Genomic DNA, 22289 nt, shown 5'->3' with positions numbered 1-22289 from the left:
ATTCCTCTTGTCTAGCTGAAACTTTGTGCTTTTTGAATAACATCTCCCCTTTCTTCATCACCATCCAACACTCAGCCTCTAGTAACCACCATTTTACTCCCTGTATCTATGGCCTTTTTGGATTTCACACTTAAGTGAGATCATGCAGTATTTGTCTTTCTGTGTCTGCCTTATTTCACATAACATAGTATCTTCCAGGTCCACGTATGTTGTTGTAAATGACAGGATTTCTTTATTTTCTAAGGCTGAATATTATTCTGTTGTGTGTATTTAACACATTTTCTTTATCTGTTTTTATGCTGATGCCACTTAGGTTGCTTCCGTATCTTAGCTATCGTGAATAATGCTACGATGAATGTGGGAGAGCAGATATCTCTTCAACATACTAACGTCAGTTCCTCAGGATATATATCCTGAAGTCAAATTACTGGATCATATGGTAGTTATATTTGTAGTTTTTGAAGAATCTTCATATTGTTTTTCATAATGGCTGTACCCAATTTGCATTCCTACCAACAGTGTATGAGAGTTTCATTTTCTCCAAATTCTTGCCAACCCTTACTGTCTTTTAACTTTTTGAAGGTAGCCTTTCTAACAGGTGTGAGGTGATCTCATTGTGGTTCTAATTTGCTTTTCCTTAATGATTAGTAACGTTGAGCATTTTTTCATATATCTGTTGACCATTTTTATGTCTTCTTCTGAGAAATGTGTGTTCAGATCTTTTACTCATTTTTTAATCAGGTTATTTAGTTTTTTGCTGTTGTTTGGGTTTCTTAGGTTGGTAGTTACTTTTTAAAAGCATTTTAAAGATATCATGGCTTTGTTCTCTGGCTTCAATTGTTTTTCATGAGCAATCAGTTATCAGACTTACTAATCCTTACAAAGTAATGCATTTTTATTTTTCTGGCTATTTTGAGATTGCCTTTTTGATTATTGTTTATTTTTAAATAGTTTTACAAACAGGCTTTTTTTTTTTTTTTGTAGTTGGTTTCTTTGTGTTTATCCTGCTTGGGGTTCTTAGACATTCTTGAATTTGTGGCTTGATGCTTTTGCCAATTTTGGAAAATTCTTGGCCATTATTGCTTTGAATTTTGCTTCTGCCTATTCTCCTTACCCTTTCCTTCTGGGACTAGAGATATTTGTATGTTAAAACATTTTTTAACCATGTTCTATATATCTCTAATGCTTCTTCTTTTATTATCATCCTTATTTCTCTCTTTGTTTTATTCTGGATATTTTCTATTAACCTATTTTCAAGTTCACAACTTGGATCTTCTGTTGTGTCTAACTGGCTGCGATTGAGTTATTAATTTTGTTTTATTTTTAGTTCTAGAATAATCTTTGGGTTTTTAATATAAATCCCAGTTCTCTGATTATTCTCACTCTTTTCCTTTACCTCTGAAACCATATTTATCACTGTTTTTAAAAGACTATATCTGATAATTCTTTAATCTGTATCATTTTTGAATTTATGTTTTTGTCTATTATTTTTTCTCTTTGTTTTGGTTCTTTGATTCTACTTCCTAGCATGCTTGATGATTTTTTCATATTAAAAATTTAGAGTGTTTTGTATGGTATTATATTTTTCCATGGGGATTTAATTTTCTCCTCACAGATTATTAGAATAAAGGTAATTTACTTAATCTTATCAGGGATTAAGACAATTTGAAGTTGGGTTTCCATCTTTGTGATGGCTACTCTAGTTATGGTTTTCCCTTAGTTTTATAAATAGTCATTTAGAGGTTCAAATAAAATTTTGGAGTGCTTTTCAAGTAGTCACTAAACTCCAGTTTTTGCTTCGTTGGTATAAGACTACTGAATATTCTTTTTAATGTCCTAGTATTTAGGTTGCTGTTTTCTGCTTGTTTCTCTTTTGATTTTCTCACTCCAAGAAAGAGGAACTGGAAATGTTTTAGGGGTTAAAAGTGGAAAAAGAATACAGGCCTCACCTCATTGCATTTACAGTTTATCCAGGATCTTGATTCTTCATGTCTTGGCTGTGCTGACAGCTCCAAAGTGTTATTTGTGCCCTCCTCTCTTTACAAGACTTCTTAATGTTCTAATCTGGAGCTTTGTGCTCAGTCTCGCATTCTGTTCTACTTAGGAAACAGCAAATGCCTTGAATTTGAAAAGTAATAAACAACATAGGGCTTACTTTAACGTGTTTACTTCCTTTATAGACTATTGAGTTTTAAATTGAAATTACTTTGGTTGGTGCCTGGTGCCTTCAAACAGTTTTTAAAATAATTTCATTTTATTCATCTTTAATAGTTTTTCTCAACGAGGGGGTGATTTGATATAAGCTACTCTATCACAGTAGAACTGGAGTTCTTCTTATGATGCTAATTTGATTGACATGATATTTGAGGGAGGGTGGTAGTTGAGCACTATGTTTCTTTACAAAGTAACTTCTGCAGACATACCTCCTTTTCCATATGTGTTTTATACTCCCCTCTATATGAATTTCTTACAAATATTTGAATGTATATATTATTCTTTAAGTATTTAAGAGTACAAAAAGTTTATTTGCCTTGTATAAATTGATTAATCTTTATTTGAATGCTTATAGTAATTTCTCTAGCCAAAACTATACTGTTCTGATATTGAAAAATCACCAAAAATAACATTATTTATAAAAGACAGTTGGTTATCCCTGATACAAAGGAAATTTTGTAATTTACATGATTACATGCATTCTGAGAATCCAAATAATACTGATAGACTAGGAGGCTATAACGAAATTATTTATTAAACTGTGACTAATGCTTAACTGTGTCATAATGGTGCTAGGTTCCTTTCACAAGGGGTAAAGGAATTTATAAGGGGAAGTCAGTATTATTTAAAAACTCTGATTTATGTATATCTTGTGATAGTAGTGAATAACTAGGCATAGACAGTACTTTTGTACATGGGGTATAAACAGTTTTCAAAGTTATTTTGATTTGTTAATTTTTTTCCTGAAATATTGTCACCTCCCTGGGTAATGTGATAAACCATGTGTAATGTAATATTTGGTTAGTAAAACAAGCATCAGCAGATAAATATCAGTGTTTGTCTTAGGAGATGCAATACTGGAAACCTGGATAAAACGAAACAGTTTTAATAAAACTTGAACAGTGTGGACCTGGGTAAACACACCTATTTGGACAACGTAGAGATTGATTTATTGTTACTAACAATCTATTATATTTTACATTGGTGGTAGTATCAAAAGTTAAACACTTTCTGAAACAACAAATGAAAAATAAAGAAAACTACCAATTTATTATTCCAGAAGCTATAGAGTCTTTAGATATCTTTTGACTTACATTCACTTTTGCCCTGCTCATCAGAGACATATCTTTTTTTCTAACATCTCAATTGTTTATTACATGCCCGCTTACCAGGTGTCTGTTATGGTTGGTGAAAATTTACGGTCCTAAGTGTGTTTTAACAGAATTTAGGAAAACATTGCAAATCATGAATTCTATTGATTTGAAAGCATTTTAAAAACCTGAAGTAGGAGTCTAGCTCCAGTTAAATGTTATTGTTGGGTCAGTCTCTTCTTTGTACTCTAATTTTCTCTTTCACAAAATGGGACTTGTAAAACATTTATGTTAGTTTCTCAAAGTCATTATAAGAACTAAATGAAGAGTAGTATGTGAAAATCTTTTCCCAAGGTAAAAACTGTTATGTAAAGGTAGCAGATTATTATTGTTATCCCCATCATTATTAGTGCTGATTAGCAGATGACTTTAGCCCTGCACAGATGCATGAAACAGTTTTGATGAAACTTTTCTCTAGTTTTCCAGGTGATAAATATGAGGTATGCCCTCCTGTCTGTAACTTACTGACATCCTTTGTATTTTTATTTTTGTTATTTTATTTCTTTTTAAAAATGACACCAAATTCGCTCTGTGGATTTTAGGAGATCAATCTGGTAACGGGCTTGGATTAATTCCTTCATCAGTAACAATGAGTTATAAATTCAGTGAATTTAACAAACCGGGAAAGGATTCCATCTTATTAAGAATAGGCAACCTAAGGTCCCTGAATGCATTTCTTTCATTGTTGAGTAGAGGAGCAATAGGCTCCTTTGGAACAAACTTACTGAATTATAAAGAGGAAATGGTTTATCCTTGAACCATTATGAAATTCAGGCAATGGATGATATTTACCCAAGGCCAATATTGTAACATAAACCGAAAATACTAACTCCTTTAAAGCAATGTGCATTATTTTAATTCATGTAATCATTAAATTAATTACTTACAGATCACAGATCATTTATTGATGGATTTTAAAGGAAAAGAAATATGCATAAGCTGAATAAGAAGATTAAGAAGATAGGTATGCATTATATCAGAATGTCCTTCAAATAGACCTGGAAAACACGTTTGTCTAATTAGGGTGCATGACAGCAATCTATGAAACTAGTTCTTTTAAGTAAATAGAGGTCTACCCTGAGAGGGTTTGGCAAACTATAGTAGGAATGGGATACTTTCCAAAAAAAAAAAAATCAGAAATGAATGAATAATTCCTCCTTTCTTAGTTTATATGAATTAATCAAATTGCAATTACATTGTCACTTATGTGCATAGTGAAGAGAGTCTGAAAAGGCAATGAAATGCACTGTATTTAATGGACAGGTATCTTTAGGACATGGGACATATGGGCTTAAATTATGCACTTTCTATAAACAATTCTAGAATAGAGGGCCAAAACATACCCTTTCTCATTTTACACTGTGACCTTTGATTTGCTTGCACAGTACCTGGCATATGGTGACTCTCAAACTGTTTAATCACATGTTGAAAAAATGAATGCACTAGTGAACACATACTTACATACACAGAAGATACTCCTTACAATGATGGTGAAACACCTATACTGAATAGTCATAGAAGAGCATATGAAACATCAGTTTTCATTTAAAAACCCAATGCTACAATGAAAATAAAAACATTCCCTTTTCCTTTCCCATCTTTGGCTTTGTTCAATGTTATGTTGGAGCCATGAAGCTGTTTTCCAGAATTTGTTTTTAGAGACTGGGTCTTGGTGTGTCACCCAGCCTGGAGTGCAGCGGCACAATAATCACTCACTACAGCCTTGAACTCTGGGCTCATCGAGTAATCCTCCTGGCTGGGCCTCCCAAAGTGCTGGTATTGTAGGAGTGAGCCACCACACCTAGTCCCAGAATTATTAAGACAGTATTCTTCAGATATTTTTATTGTCTTCTTTGTTTTCTCTTCTATAGCTTCATATTTCCCCTGCTTACTTCGACTCTAAATCATTTTAACTATTTTGCTTTTTTGCCTTTTTATTTTGAATGCTTCCTTCCCTCAGCTAAAGGTCATAAATTTTAATAAAGAAAATTTGGAAAATTCAAAAATGCAAAAAAACTTCCTATTACTACCATATTGGTTTATTTTCTGCCAGTCTTAAAATATGTATCTTTTCAAAGCTTTTAATTTTAAAAGTTATACCATATTTTATCTCTATTTTCAATTTTACTTAAAATATAAGTTTTCCATTGTAATAGCCACAGCATTTTTGGTAAAGTAGACATACTATAGCTGCTTAATCAATCCTTATGCTTGGACATTTAAATTGTTTCTATCCTTTCAATTATTTTTTAAAAGACTGCGATGAGCATCTTTGTTCATAAAGCTCTTTATCATTATTATTTTGGTATTTAGATTGCTTCCTTGAGATAGATTCCTAGAACGGGAATAAAATCATATGTATACAAGTGTCTTTCTCAGCTCTGTTTTCAAGAGGAGCTTTTGTAGAGAGCATAGATAATTGACAGCCTCCAGCTGCTATACCTGTGGATCCACCACAACATTCACCCTGAAACCATCCTTCTTTGGGGCTGCTTCCACCGAGTGACTGAACATGTCAGGAATACCAGAACGGGGACATTTCTGCCCAATACTAGATTCTTCTAATGGGTAACTCTGGTTCAGGGACTCCCTACCAACATGGCTGAGACTTTCTTTTTTGTATGGTTTAAGGAATAATGAGAAGGAAAAAACTCTGTACATGTTCAGTACAGATGCAACTTCTTTTTCTAGAATTTTTTTTTTATTATACTTTTAAGTTCTGGGATATGTGTGCAGAATTTGCAGGTTTGTTACATAGGTATACATGTGCCATGGTGGTTTGCTGCACCCATCAACCTGTCATCTACATTAGGTATTTCTCCTAATGCTATCCCTCCCCTACTTCCCCACCACCCGACAGGCCCCAATGTGTGATGTTCCCCTCCCTGTGTCCATGTGTTCTCATTGTTCAGCTCCCACTTATGAGTGCGAACATGCGGTGTTTGGTTTTCTGTTCCTGTGTTAGTTCACTGAGAATGATGGTTTCCAGCTTCATCCATGTCCCTGCAAAGGAGATGAACTCATCCTTTTTATGGCTGCATAGTATTCCATGGTGTATATGTGGCACATTTTCTTTATCCAGTCTATCATTGATGGGCATTAAAGACTTAGACGTAAGACCTAAAACCATAAAAACCCTAGAAGAAAACCTAGGTGATACCATTCAGGACATAGGCATGGGCAAAGACTTCATGACTAAAACACCAAAAGCAATGGCAACAAAAGCCAAAATGACAAATGGGATCTAATTAAACTAAAGAGTTTCTGCACAGCAAAAGAAATTATCATCAGAGTGAACAGGCGACTTACAGAATGGGAGAAAATTTTTGCCATCTATCCATCTGACAAAGGGCTAATATCCAGAATCTATAAGGAACTTAAATATTTTATTTTATTTTTATTTTTTTTGAGATGGAGTCTCACTCTGTTGCCCAGGCTGGAGTGTAGTGGCACGTTCTCGGCTCACTGCAAGCTCCGCCTCCTGGGTTCACGCCATTCTCCTGCCTCCACGCCATTCTCCTGCCTCAGCCTCCCAAGTAGTCCCAGACTACAGGCGCCCACCACCACGGCCGGCCAATTTTTTTGTGTTTTTAGTAGACATGGGGCTTCACCGTGTTAGCCAGGCTGGTCTTGATCTCCTGACCTTGTGATCCACCCGCCTCAGCCTCCCAAAGTTCTGGGATTACAGGCGTGAGCCACCGTGCCCGGCCAGGAACTTAAACAAATTTACAAGAAGAAAACAAACAACCCTATCAAAACGTGGCTGAAGGATATGAACAGACACTGCTCAAAGGAAGACATTTACGGCTGGCCGCAGTGGCTCACTCCTGTAATTCCAGCACTTTGGGAGGCCAACGCAGGCTGATCACGAGGTCAGGAGGTCCAGACCATCCTGGCTAACATGGTGAAACTCTGTCTCTAATAAAAATACAAAAAATTAACAGGATGTGGTAGGATGCGCCTGTAGTCCCAGCTACTTGGGAAGCTGAGGGAGGAGAATCACTTGAACGCGGGAGCCGGAGGTTGCAGTGAGCCGAGATTGCGCCCCGGCACTCCAGCATGGGCAACAGAGCGAGACTCCATCTAAAAAAAAAAAAGAAGAAGAAGAAGAAGACATTTATGTCACCAACAAACATATGAAAAAAAGCTCGTCATCACTGGTTATTAGAGAAATGCAAACCAAAACCACAGTGAGAAACCATCTCAAGCCAGTTAGAATGGCGACCATTAAAAAGTCAGAAAACAACAGATGCTGGAGAGGATGTGGAGAAATAAGAACGCTTTTACACTGTTAGTGGGAGTGTAAATTAGTTCAACCATTGTAGAAGACAGTGTGGCGATTCCTCAAGGATCTAGAACCAGAACTACCATTTGACCCAGCAATCCCATTACTGGCTATATACCCAAAGGATTATAAATCCTTCTGCTATAAAGACACATGCACACATACGTTTATTGCAGCGCTATTCACAATAACAAAGACTTGGAACCAACCCTGGCTGAGACTTTCTCAGGACTTTCCTGCATGCAGATCTCTTCCTACCAAATGCTTCCTTGCCTTTCTCCTTTCAGAGATGTCAGAATTGCATCATAGTCTGAGTGCTCTCCTTACCTACACCTCTTCCCCTTTATCATGTATAGATTCTACCCCAAATAATTATCTCACATACCCAATTCACCTTGGCACAAGAGGACCCAAACTGGCACAGTACATAATCATGATTCAGGCCCTTGATACATAGTGCTTAATGGTACTAATGTACACTCCCACTGCAGTGCCTCTTCCAACACTGAATTTTTCTTTTATTGACTTTAACTGATCTGATAGGTGAAAGACTAGTATCTCACTTTTAAAATTTCTATTACCTTCATCACTAGTGAGATTGCACATGCTTTGTTTTCCATTTATATCTATTAAAATTTGTTTTACTAATTTATCCATTCATTAAAAAACTTTACTTATAATTAATAGTTATAATTATAATACTTCTTTTTGTGGCATTTTTGACCGTGTATTTGAATGAGGGTCTCATTCAATACTTATCTACCAGTGTTTGGAGTAAAGTATGTATGTGGAACAAATGTAATGATTACTCATTTACTCAGGCTAAACTAAAACCCTGGATGGTATTTATGATTTGCCAGCAGCAGTAGTGGCAGAATCCACATCTCCTGACTCTCAGGAAAGACAGACAGTTTTAACATTTCTGTAATTATATTGCATACGTGTGTGTGCGCATGCATGTGTGCGTGCATGCATGTGTGCATGCATCAGTGTGTGTATGAGTTTGCAGTGTTTTTCCAATGAGAGGTGAAGCTTAAAATTCCTTAAGTTGTATTTTATTAATTTCTTTTAACAATCTTGTTTTTTTTCTTCTGTATTTCCTCCATTATTGTGTTTCCTCCACTATTGTTTTTCCACCTTTATTTCCAAGGTGTCCTGATCATCTGATTCCTATCAGGTATTTAAATTATGCAGGTGCCAGTCTCTGTGTCCCCAAACACACATAGCTAATCAAGAATAAAGCCATTTATTGTAAATTTACCTCTAGAATGAGCCCCCCTTTCTCTGATTTTGAGGATGGATAGATGCTCATTATGATCTGGTAGGCAATTATAACATGCACATTTAGAGTGTAGAAGAGTACTCTGTGTTAGGTGTTAAGACTTTTATTTTACTCATTTAAAGACAAAGATTTAAATGTGCTTGTTTAAATTCAACAAGCCCTTAGAGCCATGAGGCCTTGGGGGTAAGAGGTGCTTAAAACCAAATAGCACAGGAGCTGAAGAAGTAATTATATGCCAGATTGAAGATGGAGCTGAACAAAGACTGAGCTGATCTGGGAACAGGGGATGGCAAACTGAATTATGTCCCAGGTATCCACAGGCCGAGAAAGCAGACTGGAAAACATGCTTCTTCATACATTTTACCAAAGTTTACAAAATGCAGTAATTTTCAGATGGTTTACTAATCTTATTTACCCTTCTTTTCTGCATTTTTGCTTTAACCTAATTTTTTTTAAAAAAGAAAATCTTAATTGGAAGGATGTTTTGAGTCAAGAATACGACACTTCATAATGTAACATATATTCTGGATTCAAGGTGGCAGGTAATAAAAAATAATTGGAGTGGAATTTCAATGTCTTTATTTCCCTGAAGACCAGCCTTGAAGAGCTTCCTCAAGTGTGTCTCCTCTTCCTAAAGGTAACATGGTGGGGAAGGGAGAAGGTAGGAATTACTCTGACAAGATTTTAGTTGTTCTAAATCAGTGTGATTAATTTTATCTTAAAGACTTAAAATGTCCCATATTCCCTAGTTGCCAAGAACATGGTAGGGAGGAGGCAAAGTACACATTCTTTGTTTCAAAGTATTTTGCAGACAGTCTGGTCTATTAAGAACAAATTCTAGGACTAGGTAGTAGGGCTTAGAAGTTACCATGACCCAAATTGATTTTTTCATTTCTCTTAAAGTTGATGGTTCATTTTTTGATGAAAGTAGCAATCATATCTATAAAAACCAATTTTGATAGGCCTATCAAATCTGACCATAAAACAGAAAGCTATTTTACATTCTACAAACATATTATTAAATAAGCTCACTGTGAGTATACAAGTACTGTATGCATTTTTACTTATGAAAATCTTTTTAAAACTGAAGAAATTTTGAAACTTTTGTGATGATAATTAACAATTATATGTTAAAAGCCAGTATGGAAGCCTATTTTGTCATAACATTATAACAAGGCAACAAGTTTTAACTGAACAATGGATTCCTGAGCTTCTAAGCAAATGCATTTTGACGTGTTATTTTTCACTATATGCAAATTTAGAAGAGACTCAGTTTATCATGACCTGTATGATACCTCTTAGAATGTTAAAAAGAAAAAAAAAGATAGAAAGAGGAAGGGCCACAGTACACATAAATCTTGCCTGCAGCTTCCACTAAAGTTACTCTGGAAAGTAACTTAAGGAAAAGAGATGATTAATTAATTTATTTAAATTTGGTGCTATTTGTTAATCCACAGCTATGTTCTAGGCACAGATACTATGGTTCAAAAATATATAAGGCAAATACCTGATTTGGAGGAGCTTATTTTCAGTGGGAGGTAAAGGAGGAGGAAAAGGATATCAGAAAAAGGAATGAGCGATTTCAGAAAAGAGCAAAGTGCTGTGGCAGAGGTAAGCATAGATTTGAGGAATCGTGGGCAGCAAAGTAAAGAAGGCTTTCCTGAAGAGGTCGCAGGTAAGTGGAGGTCTAAAAGATGAAGAGGACTCTGCCAGGGCAGAGTCTAGAAATGGGGAAAGTTGGGGAAGGTACATTTTAGGCAGTAGGAACAATGCTTGGTGCAAAGATCCATAGGTGTAGGGTTTCAACAGATCTATAACTCGATGAGATTCATGCATTAGGGACCTAAGAGAGACAGAAAAGGGCAAGTACATAATGGGTTCTTGTATTCTAAGGTGGGGTATTCCAGAGATGGAGAGGTGCTGGATTAATGCTGCATTTACCTTGACCCTTTCCTGTGGTATTAGTAGGGAAGGAAGGAAGGATGATTCTGAATGCAGTGCAATGGAGGTAGCAAAAAATTGATCTGATGACCTTTATTTTCTCATTGGGATAGAGAGCATATTGCTTTGCTGATACCGAAGGGGGAGGGGTAGGTGGAATAGAAGATTTAATAAAAGTGGGAAGTTTTGAAATAGATGTAAAATATACTAAAGTAAACAGATGATTAGGGAAACTTGGAAGGATTATTAAGTAACATTTGGGACCCAGCTAAGTTTGGGAGCTGTAGATGTGTAGTGGTTATAATCTGTGAGTGTATGTGACCCACTTTAGCTGTTGCAGTTCTAGGAGTGGAGAAAGCAGATAGCTGGACTGCTCTAGGCCTGGGTTTTCACCTATGTTGACGCTCTTCCTGTTTCCTTCCACCACTCACCTCTTGTCACAGAAGACTGCTTATTCCTGATACTGTGACTGTCTGCCTGAAGGCATTTTTTGTGTGTGGCTGCTGAGCAGATTTGGCTCACAGTGTTGGGCAGGCTTAAAGTACCAAATAGTTACTGTCACTAGAAAAAGACTTAAGCAAATAACTGTTAGCAAGTGGGTGGATTACACTATCATCCTTACCCTTCACATGGGATAACTGTGAGGCATGTTCTTTACTGTTTTCCAGAGTATCCCAGAAGGACTAAACTCATTTCCCATAGCAGTAACTTGTTTAATAATTGTACCCTTTTTTGGCTTTGTCCCTGTTTCATTTATGGCTGTGTAACAAACTACCCCCAAATACAGGGACTTAAAACAACAAAGATTTGTTATTTTTTACAAATCTTTGGGGTGCCCAGGCTTAGATTAGTAATAGCTTGGGTCACTCATGTAGTTGCACTTGACTGGAAGCCTGTCTGGGTCAGGAATGACTATGATGGCTTTACTTATGGGTTTTAGGCCTCAGTGCAATGTATAGAATGGCTGGGGTCTGTCTGGGCCTGTCTCTCCCCATTGCTTCTCATCATTCACTAATCTAGTCTGAGCGTCTTTACATGGTATCTGCATCTAAGGAAAGCAAAAGAAGAGGCTGCCAGGACTCTTGCAGCCTTGGCTTAGAACTAGCATAGCATCACTTCTGCTGCAATCTATTGTTCAAAAAAAGGGTGCAAGGTCAGTGCAGATTCAAGAGTGGGGGAAACAAACTCTGCCTCTTGATGGGAAGAGCAGCATGCTAGAGCAAGGCTTTGAGGAACTATTGATGGTTATCTTTGCAAACATTCTATCTTATTTCCCTTTTCTGCCTTCCATCCTTTCTCCCTTACCAGTGTTTCATGGGGTTGTTTCCAAAATAAATTATTTGTACTAAAATTCTCATCTTAGATCTGTACTAAGACAGCTTGGTAAGTGAGATAGGAAAACCAAGAAGTGAACTGAAAGTATTTCTAAGAAAATAGAGTGATGACTTATGTATGGGCTCTGTGCTGGGTGACAAAGACAATGTAAAAGAAATTGCAAGAGCAGAAAGCTAGAGAGGCCTAGGGATTGATAATATCTGTGATGTCAAACAATTGTATATGATAAGTTTGGCAGGGTGAGAAGGCTGGTAGGAAAGGAGACTATGATTCTAGGTCCAGCAGTGGCAGAATGTACCTTGGGAGACTCCAAGAAGCAGAAACCATGGATCAAAGACAAGATTTTGTTGATCAGCCTGTGGACAGGCTACTGCTATCACCTTAGTGAGGCTCACCATTTTTGAAATAAATTCTGTGGATTGGATATTAGGCAAACACTCCTTCAGCTTGCTGTACAGGTTACAGGTGGTTACAGGTGATCCATAACCCTACATCTGAAGAGGAGGTGGCCATTAACACAATCAGTGCAAAGGCCCTGGCAAAGTCAAGTTGCCCAGAAACAGCTTCAGCAGAATTTCCTGCCTACCAGATCTTTATTCCTAAAAAAATTATACTTTTAAAATCTAGGACTTCAACAAAAATAGGATGTCTAGGAATGAAGAAAAGCTTCAGAGTCAGATTGCAATCAAGTTGTGCTACCAGTTAGGTGACGTGTGGCATCACAAAAGCATAAGGATTTTCGAACCTCACTTCTTTTTTGTATTATATGGTGTTAATACCCATTTGATTTAATTTAAAGTTTTTGTATTATTTAAGACTTTCAATGGGTGCTTGCAGTTGGTTGACATTTTTGAAAAAATCAAGTTGTAAACTTTTATTACAAATTAAAAGTGAAGTGCTTAAAAATCTCAACTTGACATATGAACCAATTTAAAAGCTTTTAAAGGCATGTTGAGAAAAACCAAACTAAAAAAAAAACACACAAAAACAACAACAATAAAAACCTTTGTTATTACCAAAAAGACATGTCTGTAGGTAAAAATAATTTTAAAAACCCCATGCTTCGTAGATAATGCAGGTAGTTCTGGTTTCTGATCAATGGGCAAAAAGCAAGCACTTAAGGTCTTCAGCATTTCTTTCCTGCATTTCTCATTGCTGTAATTTCATATTCATTTCTTCTTGTTGGATGATTAAACTGGATGATGGTGGAGATGGTAAACCGGCATTTACTCAACCTTCTTCTGCCTCGGGTGCAGAATTCTTGACTGGTGGACTGGCTGCTGTTGTCTCTTTGCCATGTTGTGGTTTAGGGTTTTCTGGGAGTCTACATAGATAATTGGGGTTTTAGCAGCACCGATGTTGAGGTCGCTGCTGATATTGGGTCTCATCTTGATTTTCTTTACTCTCTTCACTGCCGTCCTCTCTAGGCTGGCTTTGGCGATGAGGTTCCCTGAGGAATCGTGGTCTATAAACCATACAAATATCCTGCCTCACTGGCCTACCTTGTGCTCCTGCACCCCAGTTGTTAGCACCCTCCGTCGCTGCTCCCTGCAAGGAGGGTTAGAATATGGTGGTCAATTTCCGTAGGGTCTCTGCCTGTAGTAAGGCAGGAACCTTCGCCTGCAGCAGGGCCGGCATTGTTGGGCCGAGCCTAAGGGAGCACTCTCCCGTCCTTCGTTCTTTTCTCCACTCTCACTATTCTGGTAATTCTACTGGTAATTGCCTGAGGACCACATGGATAGCGTCAATGATGGTTAAGGTCAGCTGCATACTTACTGCTATCAACTGGACTCTACAGGGGCCTGTAACATTTACTGCCTCCCCACCCTTTTCTGCTGCAACATCATCAAACTCCACAGTCTCTCCGTGTCCTACACTGCTAAGGTACTTCCTGGGGTTACTCTTCTGTATGGTATTCTGCTGTACAACTGCATCTTCCTTGGTGCCATTCGCATAGATGAAACCATTTATTTCTTACATTGAACCATTTTACTGTTCCCAAAATCTTCCTTGCGGTGATCTTATCCCCATCAGCAGGCGCCGCCTGTGAGGTCGCCCTTGCCACTGCTCCCTGCGCCGCTGCAGGTGGTGCCGGCTTGGGGTTGGCTGCCTTGGCGTCTTTGCTCAGGGTTGTGGTTGCTGTGATGGTGACCTGCTGGCTGCAGGGTTGTGGCTCCTTCTGGGGTGACTGTAACTAGGCCGGGGGCGGTGGTGGGGCTGCTCAGGGCTCTCTGGGTTCCGCTCGCCGCTCCTGCTACCGATTGAACTCAAGTTTCAATTAAATAATAAAACATTGTCTAAGTGCCTAGCACAAAATAGGATATAAGGGAATATTATTTCCCTTTTTTCATTTTTTTCTCCTTTATAAAGTAAGATTTATAAACAAGATATAAGGTACCTCGTCTTTCTGCTGTTGTAGCTTGTTTCTGAAGAAGCGCAGCACATGTTTTTCAGTGTACCGTGCCCTGGTGACCTAAAGTTCGCTCCGTTTCCCTTAGCTCTTACTCACTACTTAGTAGTCACTTAGTAGTGATTGCCCAATCTTAGGCAATGTGGTGTTTTGTTTGTTGTTTGTTTGTTTGTTTGTTTAAATGGAAGGCAGGATTTATTTGTGCTTGGAAGGTATTTGGCATTCATATGGATTTTGGCAAGAAACGAGCTTCATCTGAACTCTGTTGTACTCTTATTCATTTTGTTAAAACTGATATTCAAATGATTAGAGTTATATTCAAGTAAGAATAAGGGAAACTTCTACTATATAATTTATGTTTGTAGAATTTTGTGAATCGTAAATTAAACTTGGAAGCTCTTGGCTAAAGAATTTGTCTTTTCATTTCAAAGGAAGGAGTTAAAATACTTATTCTTGTTATTAGCCTGATGATAGATTAATTCACTTATATTGCCTTTTCAAAACAAAATGAAGACCAGTGACACCCAATTCCAAACATTTCACAATTAAATAAAACGATTTAGAAAGCATGCAACTCAGTTTGCACATATGAACTATGTAAGTACCTCTTTATGTGATAGAAGTTGTAAGTAGGAACTGGAATGTAATTTTGTCCTTATCTTCAGGTTTAATTTAGCCTGCCAGAATCTGTAGACTGGTAGAAATTATTACATTTTATAGTAATTTCCTTTTATATTGACATGATCATGAGATGGGAAACTAGAAGAAATTCAGAATTCCTTCATCTATAGTTAAGCTCTTGCTGTGTTGTCATCTTGGAATTCCCTTCTTCCCACAGCAGAATACTCACTTCCTTTCTCTCCTTTCTCACCTCCCCCAGTTGCACAGAATCACCCTTGGGTCCTGGCCTTCTGCCCAGTAGTTGGACCCTATTTTCCAGGTAGGAACATATTGACCTTCAACCGACTGCTAGTTTTCTAGGTCCACCTCTCTGCTTCTGTTTTTTCAGGCTCTCTTAACCATGTAGTAGTCTTTTCTTCCCTGGATAGCACTGATGCACTGCATACTGTGTAGTTGGCCACCTCCTGCAGTGTGATTCGAAATAGCTTAGTGCCCTGCAGGGAGCAAGGCCTGAGGCACAGGACTTTCTGTGTCCCTCTATCATAGTACTTACCTCTTCCTGCAATGCATTATATTATTTATGTATATATGCCTTTTAGTATGTATTTATTCTGGCATATTATAAACTCACTAAAGCAGATACAAAATTCTTTTCTATGAGTGTGTGTCTCACAGAGGACAGTACACCTTGTACCAACTAAGTGCTTAATAAATGTTTATCTGAGTGAATGTAATTCCAGCAAGTTGGAAAGAGCATTGTATTGTTTATCCTGGTTTTTGTTTATTTCTTTGTTTCTAAGTGGAAGTTTTTATAAGAAGATAGATCTAAAGTTCTCAGAATCCTAAACAGTATTGCAGCATCTTTTTCTTGAAATTTACAGCACATTTCTCATTGCTTAATTCTCAAATTTGAAATTACTTTTAACCTACCATTCACAAAATTATCTCACTCACCTGAAGTACAGATGTAAACAAGCTTCTTAACTCTGTAGGTAAGACAACATCAGATGTCAGTTGATGATTTGCTTGAGATTGTGTGTGGGAGTCTACATTTTTAATTTTTTTGCACTTGCGTGAAAGGCATAATGTATCTCTCCTGAAATATTTTCTTTGGGCCTGAGATCTGAGGAATTTGCCAAATTTATTTTTTAGAAATTAAACAAGAATCTTTCCATCATTGAAGAACCTTGAGGTTCTCCATCATTGAAGAACCTTGAGGTTCTCCATCATTGAAGAACCTTGAGGTTCTCCATCATTGAAGAACCTTGAGGTTCTCCATCATTGAAGAACCTTGAGGTTCTCCATCATTGAAGAACCTTGAGGTTCTCCATCATTGAAGAACCTTGAGGCTGCCCTCAGTGACTGCAGCCTTCGACTTAGAAACGGCTAAGCCTGAAATGATGGGGTGTGCCCCGGATGCCTCAGACGACAGATAAAGCTACTCCAGCCAGGAAGACACAGAAGTGGAAGACGGAGATAAAACTGCATGAAACGAAGGGATAAAGTTATGTAGTTATAGAATTTTACACCTGGAAAGCAGAAACCATATGTTCTAGCCTCACATTTCACATGAGTAAACTGAAGCCTAGATAGGTGAAGGGACCTGTCCAAAGTCTCATAGTAGCTTAATGGTGGAACCATACTTTTTGAGAGTTAATTGAGGGTGTTTTTCACTATAACCTAATAGTGTTACATCCAGGGGTATATCAAAGGAGAAAACAGTTTAATGAAATTATTTAAAATGATAATTTTCTTACAGAGATTATATTCTTACTGAGTTTTAAATAAGAGTTTTTTCCTTGCTGTTTGAAGTTACCATGTCCTATAATGCATCAAGTCTGAAAATGCATTTATAAAATAGAGAGGTATGGACTATATTTTTATCTATAAGGTGAATGTGCTTTAGCTTCAGGTTTTTTTAAATTTTACACTTGGATGTGTGCTTATTTTTAATTTAGAAAATATAATTTGGTTGGAAACTTAATTATTGCCAGTTCTTGAGAGAGTTCTTCAATCTTTGAGATGTGGTATGCATTAGTGTAAATCTTGGCATAACTGTGGACATAAATTCTTCAATTGTTTTTTCCTTCTTTGGTTCTGGGATCTGATGAAGAGTGTTGGTTTTGAAACTTTTGAGGCCAGGTATGGTGGCTCATGCCTGTTGTGAAACTAAAAAATCTGAGACAGGTCTCAGTCAATTTAGGAAGTTTATTTTGTCAACGTTAAGGACACATGCCCATGACACAGTCTCAGGAGGTTTTGATAACATGTGCCCAAGACAGTCGGAGCATAACTTGGTTTTATACATTTTAGGGAGGCATGAGACATCAATCAACATATGTAAGATGAACATTGGTTCGGTTCGTAAGGGCAGGACAACTTGAAGCAAAAGCAGGACAACTCAAAGTGGGAGGGGGCTTCCAGGCCATTGGTAGATTAGAAACAAATGGTTGCATTCTTGAGTTTCTGATTAGCCTTGACAAAGAGGCAATGAGATATGCATTTATCTTAGTGAGCAGAGGGATGACTTTGAATAGAATGGGAAGCAGGTTTGCCCTAAGCAGTCCCCAGCTTGACTTTTCCCTTTAGCTTAGTGATTTTGGGCCCCAAGATTTATTTTCCTTTCACACTATAATCCCAGCACTTTGGGAGGCCAAGCAGGGAGGATTGATTGAGCCCCCAGAAGTTCAAGACCAGTCTGGGCAACATAGTGAGACCGTATGTCTACAAAAAATAAAATAGAAAATTAGCCAGATGTGGTGGTGTATGCCTGTAGTCCCAGCTACTCAGGAGGATAGTGTTTGAAATTTCAGTGAGCTATGATCACGTCACTGCATTCCAGCCTGGGTGACAAAGCCTGGGTGACAGATTGATTGTTAGACAATATGAACTATTGACTAACATTTTTTCTGCTTCCAAAACTTTTGGGTATTTGTTATATATAAATTTTACTTGCATTCTTACCTATTTGATGGCATATATTTCTGTAAATGTACTTATTACCTACTTTATTGCCTCTTCATCTGCCTTTGTTCAGCCCTCTCCTAGAAGCAGGAGACATTTTTCTAGTTTTTTGTTTGTTTGTTTTTTATTCAATTTTTATTTGTATCTCTTGGTACTTTTTTAAAGCCTTCTGTTTTCTGTTTCTCTGTAACCTTCTGTTCTCAGGATTAGTAATAATACAAGAGTTTTGCTTCTTGTGTGGAGAAATAAACTTCCAAAAAAACAACCAGCCTGCAGATAGTAGCTATAAACTCTGGACAAAAACCAAAAATAAAAGCAAAGCATAACAAAACACAATACAACTCTGTAAAGGTTTTGGAGAATGGATAAGACTAGAGAAATATTAGAGGAGGTTCAAACTTTGTATTAAGCAAATGTCATGAGATGAAGTGAGTTTCACATTTCTGAGGCTTTTTCTGAGGGCATCTCCAATTGCAGTGGCAACATGGGACAATTTAACTCCAAGAGAAAGCCCTTGCTTTCTCTGTAGGCTGTAGGAACTCTGGGAAGGAACGGGGATGTCAGAGAATGAGGAAAAACATAGGAAAGTAAAGAGACAGAGATGGGATATTGTGTGTATAAATTCTGTCTTAAGTCTTTGTCTGACCCCTGAACTGCACATGCACAGGGCAGACTGAAATCAGTCCACACTGAGATCCAAAAAGCACAAATTTTTCAATATGAGATTAGCCAAATTAATGTCCCATGAGAACAAAGATATTAGCACTCTTTGGCTCAATGTAACACATTGTCCAAGTTAAGGACTCCAAGTCTGGAGTATCCACAATTAACATTGACGATGTCTAAGTTAAAACCCATAATTGGCCAGGCACAGTGGCTCACACCTGTAATCCCAGCACTTTGGGAGGCCAAGGTGGGCAGATCACGAGGTCGGGAGATTGAGATCATCCTGGCTAACATGGTGAAACCCCGTCTCTACTAAAAATACAAAAATTTAGCCAGGTGTGGTGGCGGGCGCCTGTAGTCCCAGCTGCTCGGGAGGCTGAGGCAGGAGAATTGTGTGAACCCAGGAGGCAGAGGTTGCAGTGAACCAAGATCGTGCCACTGCACTCCAGCCTGGCAACAGAGCAAGACTCCGTCTCAAGACAAAACAAAACAAAAACAAACAACCAAACAAATAAAAACCCCATAATTACTTCAACCCAGTAAAATGTTACCCTTTCTTAAGGATAAAGAAAATCAACAGATGACAATCTTAAAATCACCCACATGTTGGAATTACTAGGCAAAAAAATTAAAGCAGGTATTAAAACTGCGCTTTAAGAGATGAAAGGGAATATGGTTGAAATGAACAAAAAGATAGGAAATCTCAGCAGAGAAATAAGAAATTATTAAAAGAACCAAATTGGCCAGGTGCGGTGGCTCACACCTGTAATCTCAGCACTTTGGGAGGCTGAGGGGGCGGATCACAGGGTCAAGAGATCGAGACCATCCTGGCTAACGTGGTGAAACCCCATCTCTACTAAAAATACAAAAATTAGCTGGGTGTGGTGGCATGTGCCTGTAATTCCAGCTACTAGGGAGGCTGAGGCAGGAGAATTGCTTGAACCCAGGAGGCAGAGGTTGCAGTGAGCCGAGATTGCGCCACTGCACTCCATCCTGGCGACAGAGCAAGACTTCATCTAAAAAAAAAAAAAAAAAAAAAAAGAAGAACCAAATGGGAATTTTAAAACAGAGAAATGTATTATATTAAATAAATAAATTAGTAGGATTAACAGTATAATGGAGGAGGGGTTGAAGGAAAAGTCATTGAACTTAAAGATAGATCAATAGAAATTATCTAATCTAAAAAGGAGTGAGAAAAAAGAGTGGATAAAAAATAAGCAGTATCTCAAAAACCGGAAGTACAATTTTATTTATTTTTTATTTAAAAATATTTAATTGACAAAGATTGTATATAGTGAAAGTGTGCATTGTGATTGTTTTATGCATACATTTCTCAGTGATTATCACAATCAAGTTAATTCACACATTCTTCACCACCCATTCTGTACATTAGATCCCTGGAACTTGTTCAACTTATAACTGAAATGTTGTACCCTTTAATCAACATCTCCTTATTTTCTCCACCACCATCCCCTGGCAATCATCAGTCTTTCTGTTGCAATGAGATTCACCTTTTTATAAGATTTCATGTAAGTGAGATCACAGACTATTTGTCTTTCTATATCTTGCTTATTTTACTTAGTATAATGTCTTACAGATTCATTCATGTTGTTGAAAATGACAGGTTTGATTATTTTTATGGCAAAATAATATTTCATTGTGTATATGTACCACATTTTCTTTATTCATTTATCCGCTTTACCCATTGATGGATACTTAGGTAGTTTCCATCTTTTGGGTATTATGAATAATGCTGCAATAATTATGAGGGTACAGATATCTCTTAAAGATACTGATTTCATTTCCTTTGGATATAAACCCAGAAGTGGGCTTGCTGGATCATATAATTATTCTATTTTAAATTTTTTTAGGAAACTCCATACTGTTTTCCATAATGGCTATACCAATTTACATTCCCACCTACAGTGGACAAGTGTTTTCGTTTCTCCACATTCTTGCAGATATTTATCTCTTAGCCCTTCTGACAGGCATGAGGTGATATCTCACTGTAGTTTTGATGTGCATTTCCCTGATGATTATTGATGTTGAGCACTTTTTAATATACTTCTTGCCCATTTGTATGCCTTCTTTGGAAAAATGTCTATTCAGGCCTTTTTCCTATTTTTAAATTGAGTTATTGTTATTATTTTTTTTTGCCATTGAGTTGTGTGAGTTCTACATACATTCTGAATATCAACCCTTCATCAGATATATAGTTGCAAATGTTTTCTCCCATTCAGTAGGTTGCCTTCTCAGTTTTTGTTTCCTTTGCTGTGAAAAAGGTTTTTAGTTTGGTGTAGTTCTACTTTTTTTTATTTTTGCTTTTGTTACCTGTGCTTTTCGTGTCAATATCCAAAAACTCTTTGCCAAGACCAATGTCAAGGAGCTTTGTTTTACAGTTTTGGATCTTACATTTTTAAATTAAAAATTTAAATCTTTAATTCATTTTGAGTTAATTTTTGTGTACAGTGCAAGACAAGGATCCAGTCTTATTCTTTTGCATTTGAGTATCCAGTTTCCCCAAAACCACTTATTGAAGAGAATTTCCTTTCCTTATTGTGTATAGTTGGTGCCCTTGCCAAAGATTAGTTAACCATACAAGTGTGCATTTATTTCTGGGCTCTCAATTCTATTCCATTGACCTAAGTGTCTGTTTTTATGCTGGTACCAAACTATTTTGATTACTGTAGCTTCGTAAGACAAATTGAAATCACAGAGTGTGATGCCTCCAGCTTTGTTCCTTTTCAAGATTGCTATGGCTATCTGTGATCTTTTGTGGTTCCAAACAAATTTCAGGATTGTTTTGTCTATTTCTGTAAAAAATATCATTATAATATTGATAGATTGCATTGAATCTGAAAATGCTTTAGGTAGCATGGGCATTTTAAAAATAGCAATTCTTTCAATTCACGAACGTGCAATATTTTTACACTTGTTTTTGTCTTCAGTTTCTTTCATCAGTGTCTAAGAGTTTTCAGTGTACCAATTCTTCATCAACTTGGTTAAATTTATTTCTTAGTATGTTATTGTATTTGATACTATTGTAAGTGGAATCGTTTTATAATTTGGATATCTGTCCCCACAAACCTCATGTTGAAATTTGATCCCAATGTTAGCTATCAGGCCTAATGAGAGGTGTTTGATCGTGGGGGTAGTTTCCTCATAAGTGGTTTGATGTCCTTCTTGATGTCTTGATGTATTGAGTGATTTCTTTCTCTATTGGTTCCCATGAGAGCCGATTGTTATAAAGAGCCTGGCAGCTCTCTCTTCTTTCTCTCTTGCCTTGTAATCTCCACACACTGGCTTCACTTTACCTTCTGCCATGAGTGGAAGCAGCCTGAGCTCTCACCAGGAGCTGGTGCCATGCTTCTTGTACATCCGGAAAAGCCATGAGCCAAAAAAACTTTTTCTCTTTATAAA

General features: G+C 37.3%; 1 protein-coding gene and 1 pseudogene across 8 annotated transcripts in view; one reads left to right on the top strand and one right to left on the bottom strand.

Annotated features, from left to right (window-relative positions):
- Positions 1-22289, top strand: part of ZBTB20 (zinc finger and BTB domain containing 20) — an 832789-nt gene that overhangs the window by 202398 nt on the left and 608102 nt on the right. The gene's annotated exons all lie outside the window — the stretch shown is intronic.
- YBX1P3 (Y-box binding protein 1 pseudogene 3) lies at positions 13243-14318 on the bottom strand (annotated as a pseudogene).

This window comes from Homo sapiens, chromosome 3 (assembly GCF_000001405.40).
Source record: "Homo sapiens chromosome 3, GRCh38.p14 Primary Assembly".
Taxonomy (NCBI): Eukaryota; Metazoa; Chordata; class Mammalia; order Primates; family Hominidae; genus Homo; species Homo sapiens.
This window is presented reverse-complemented; position numbering and strand designations above follow the sequence as displayed.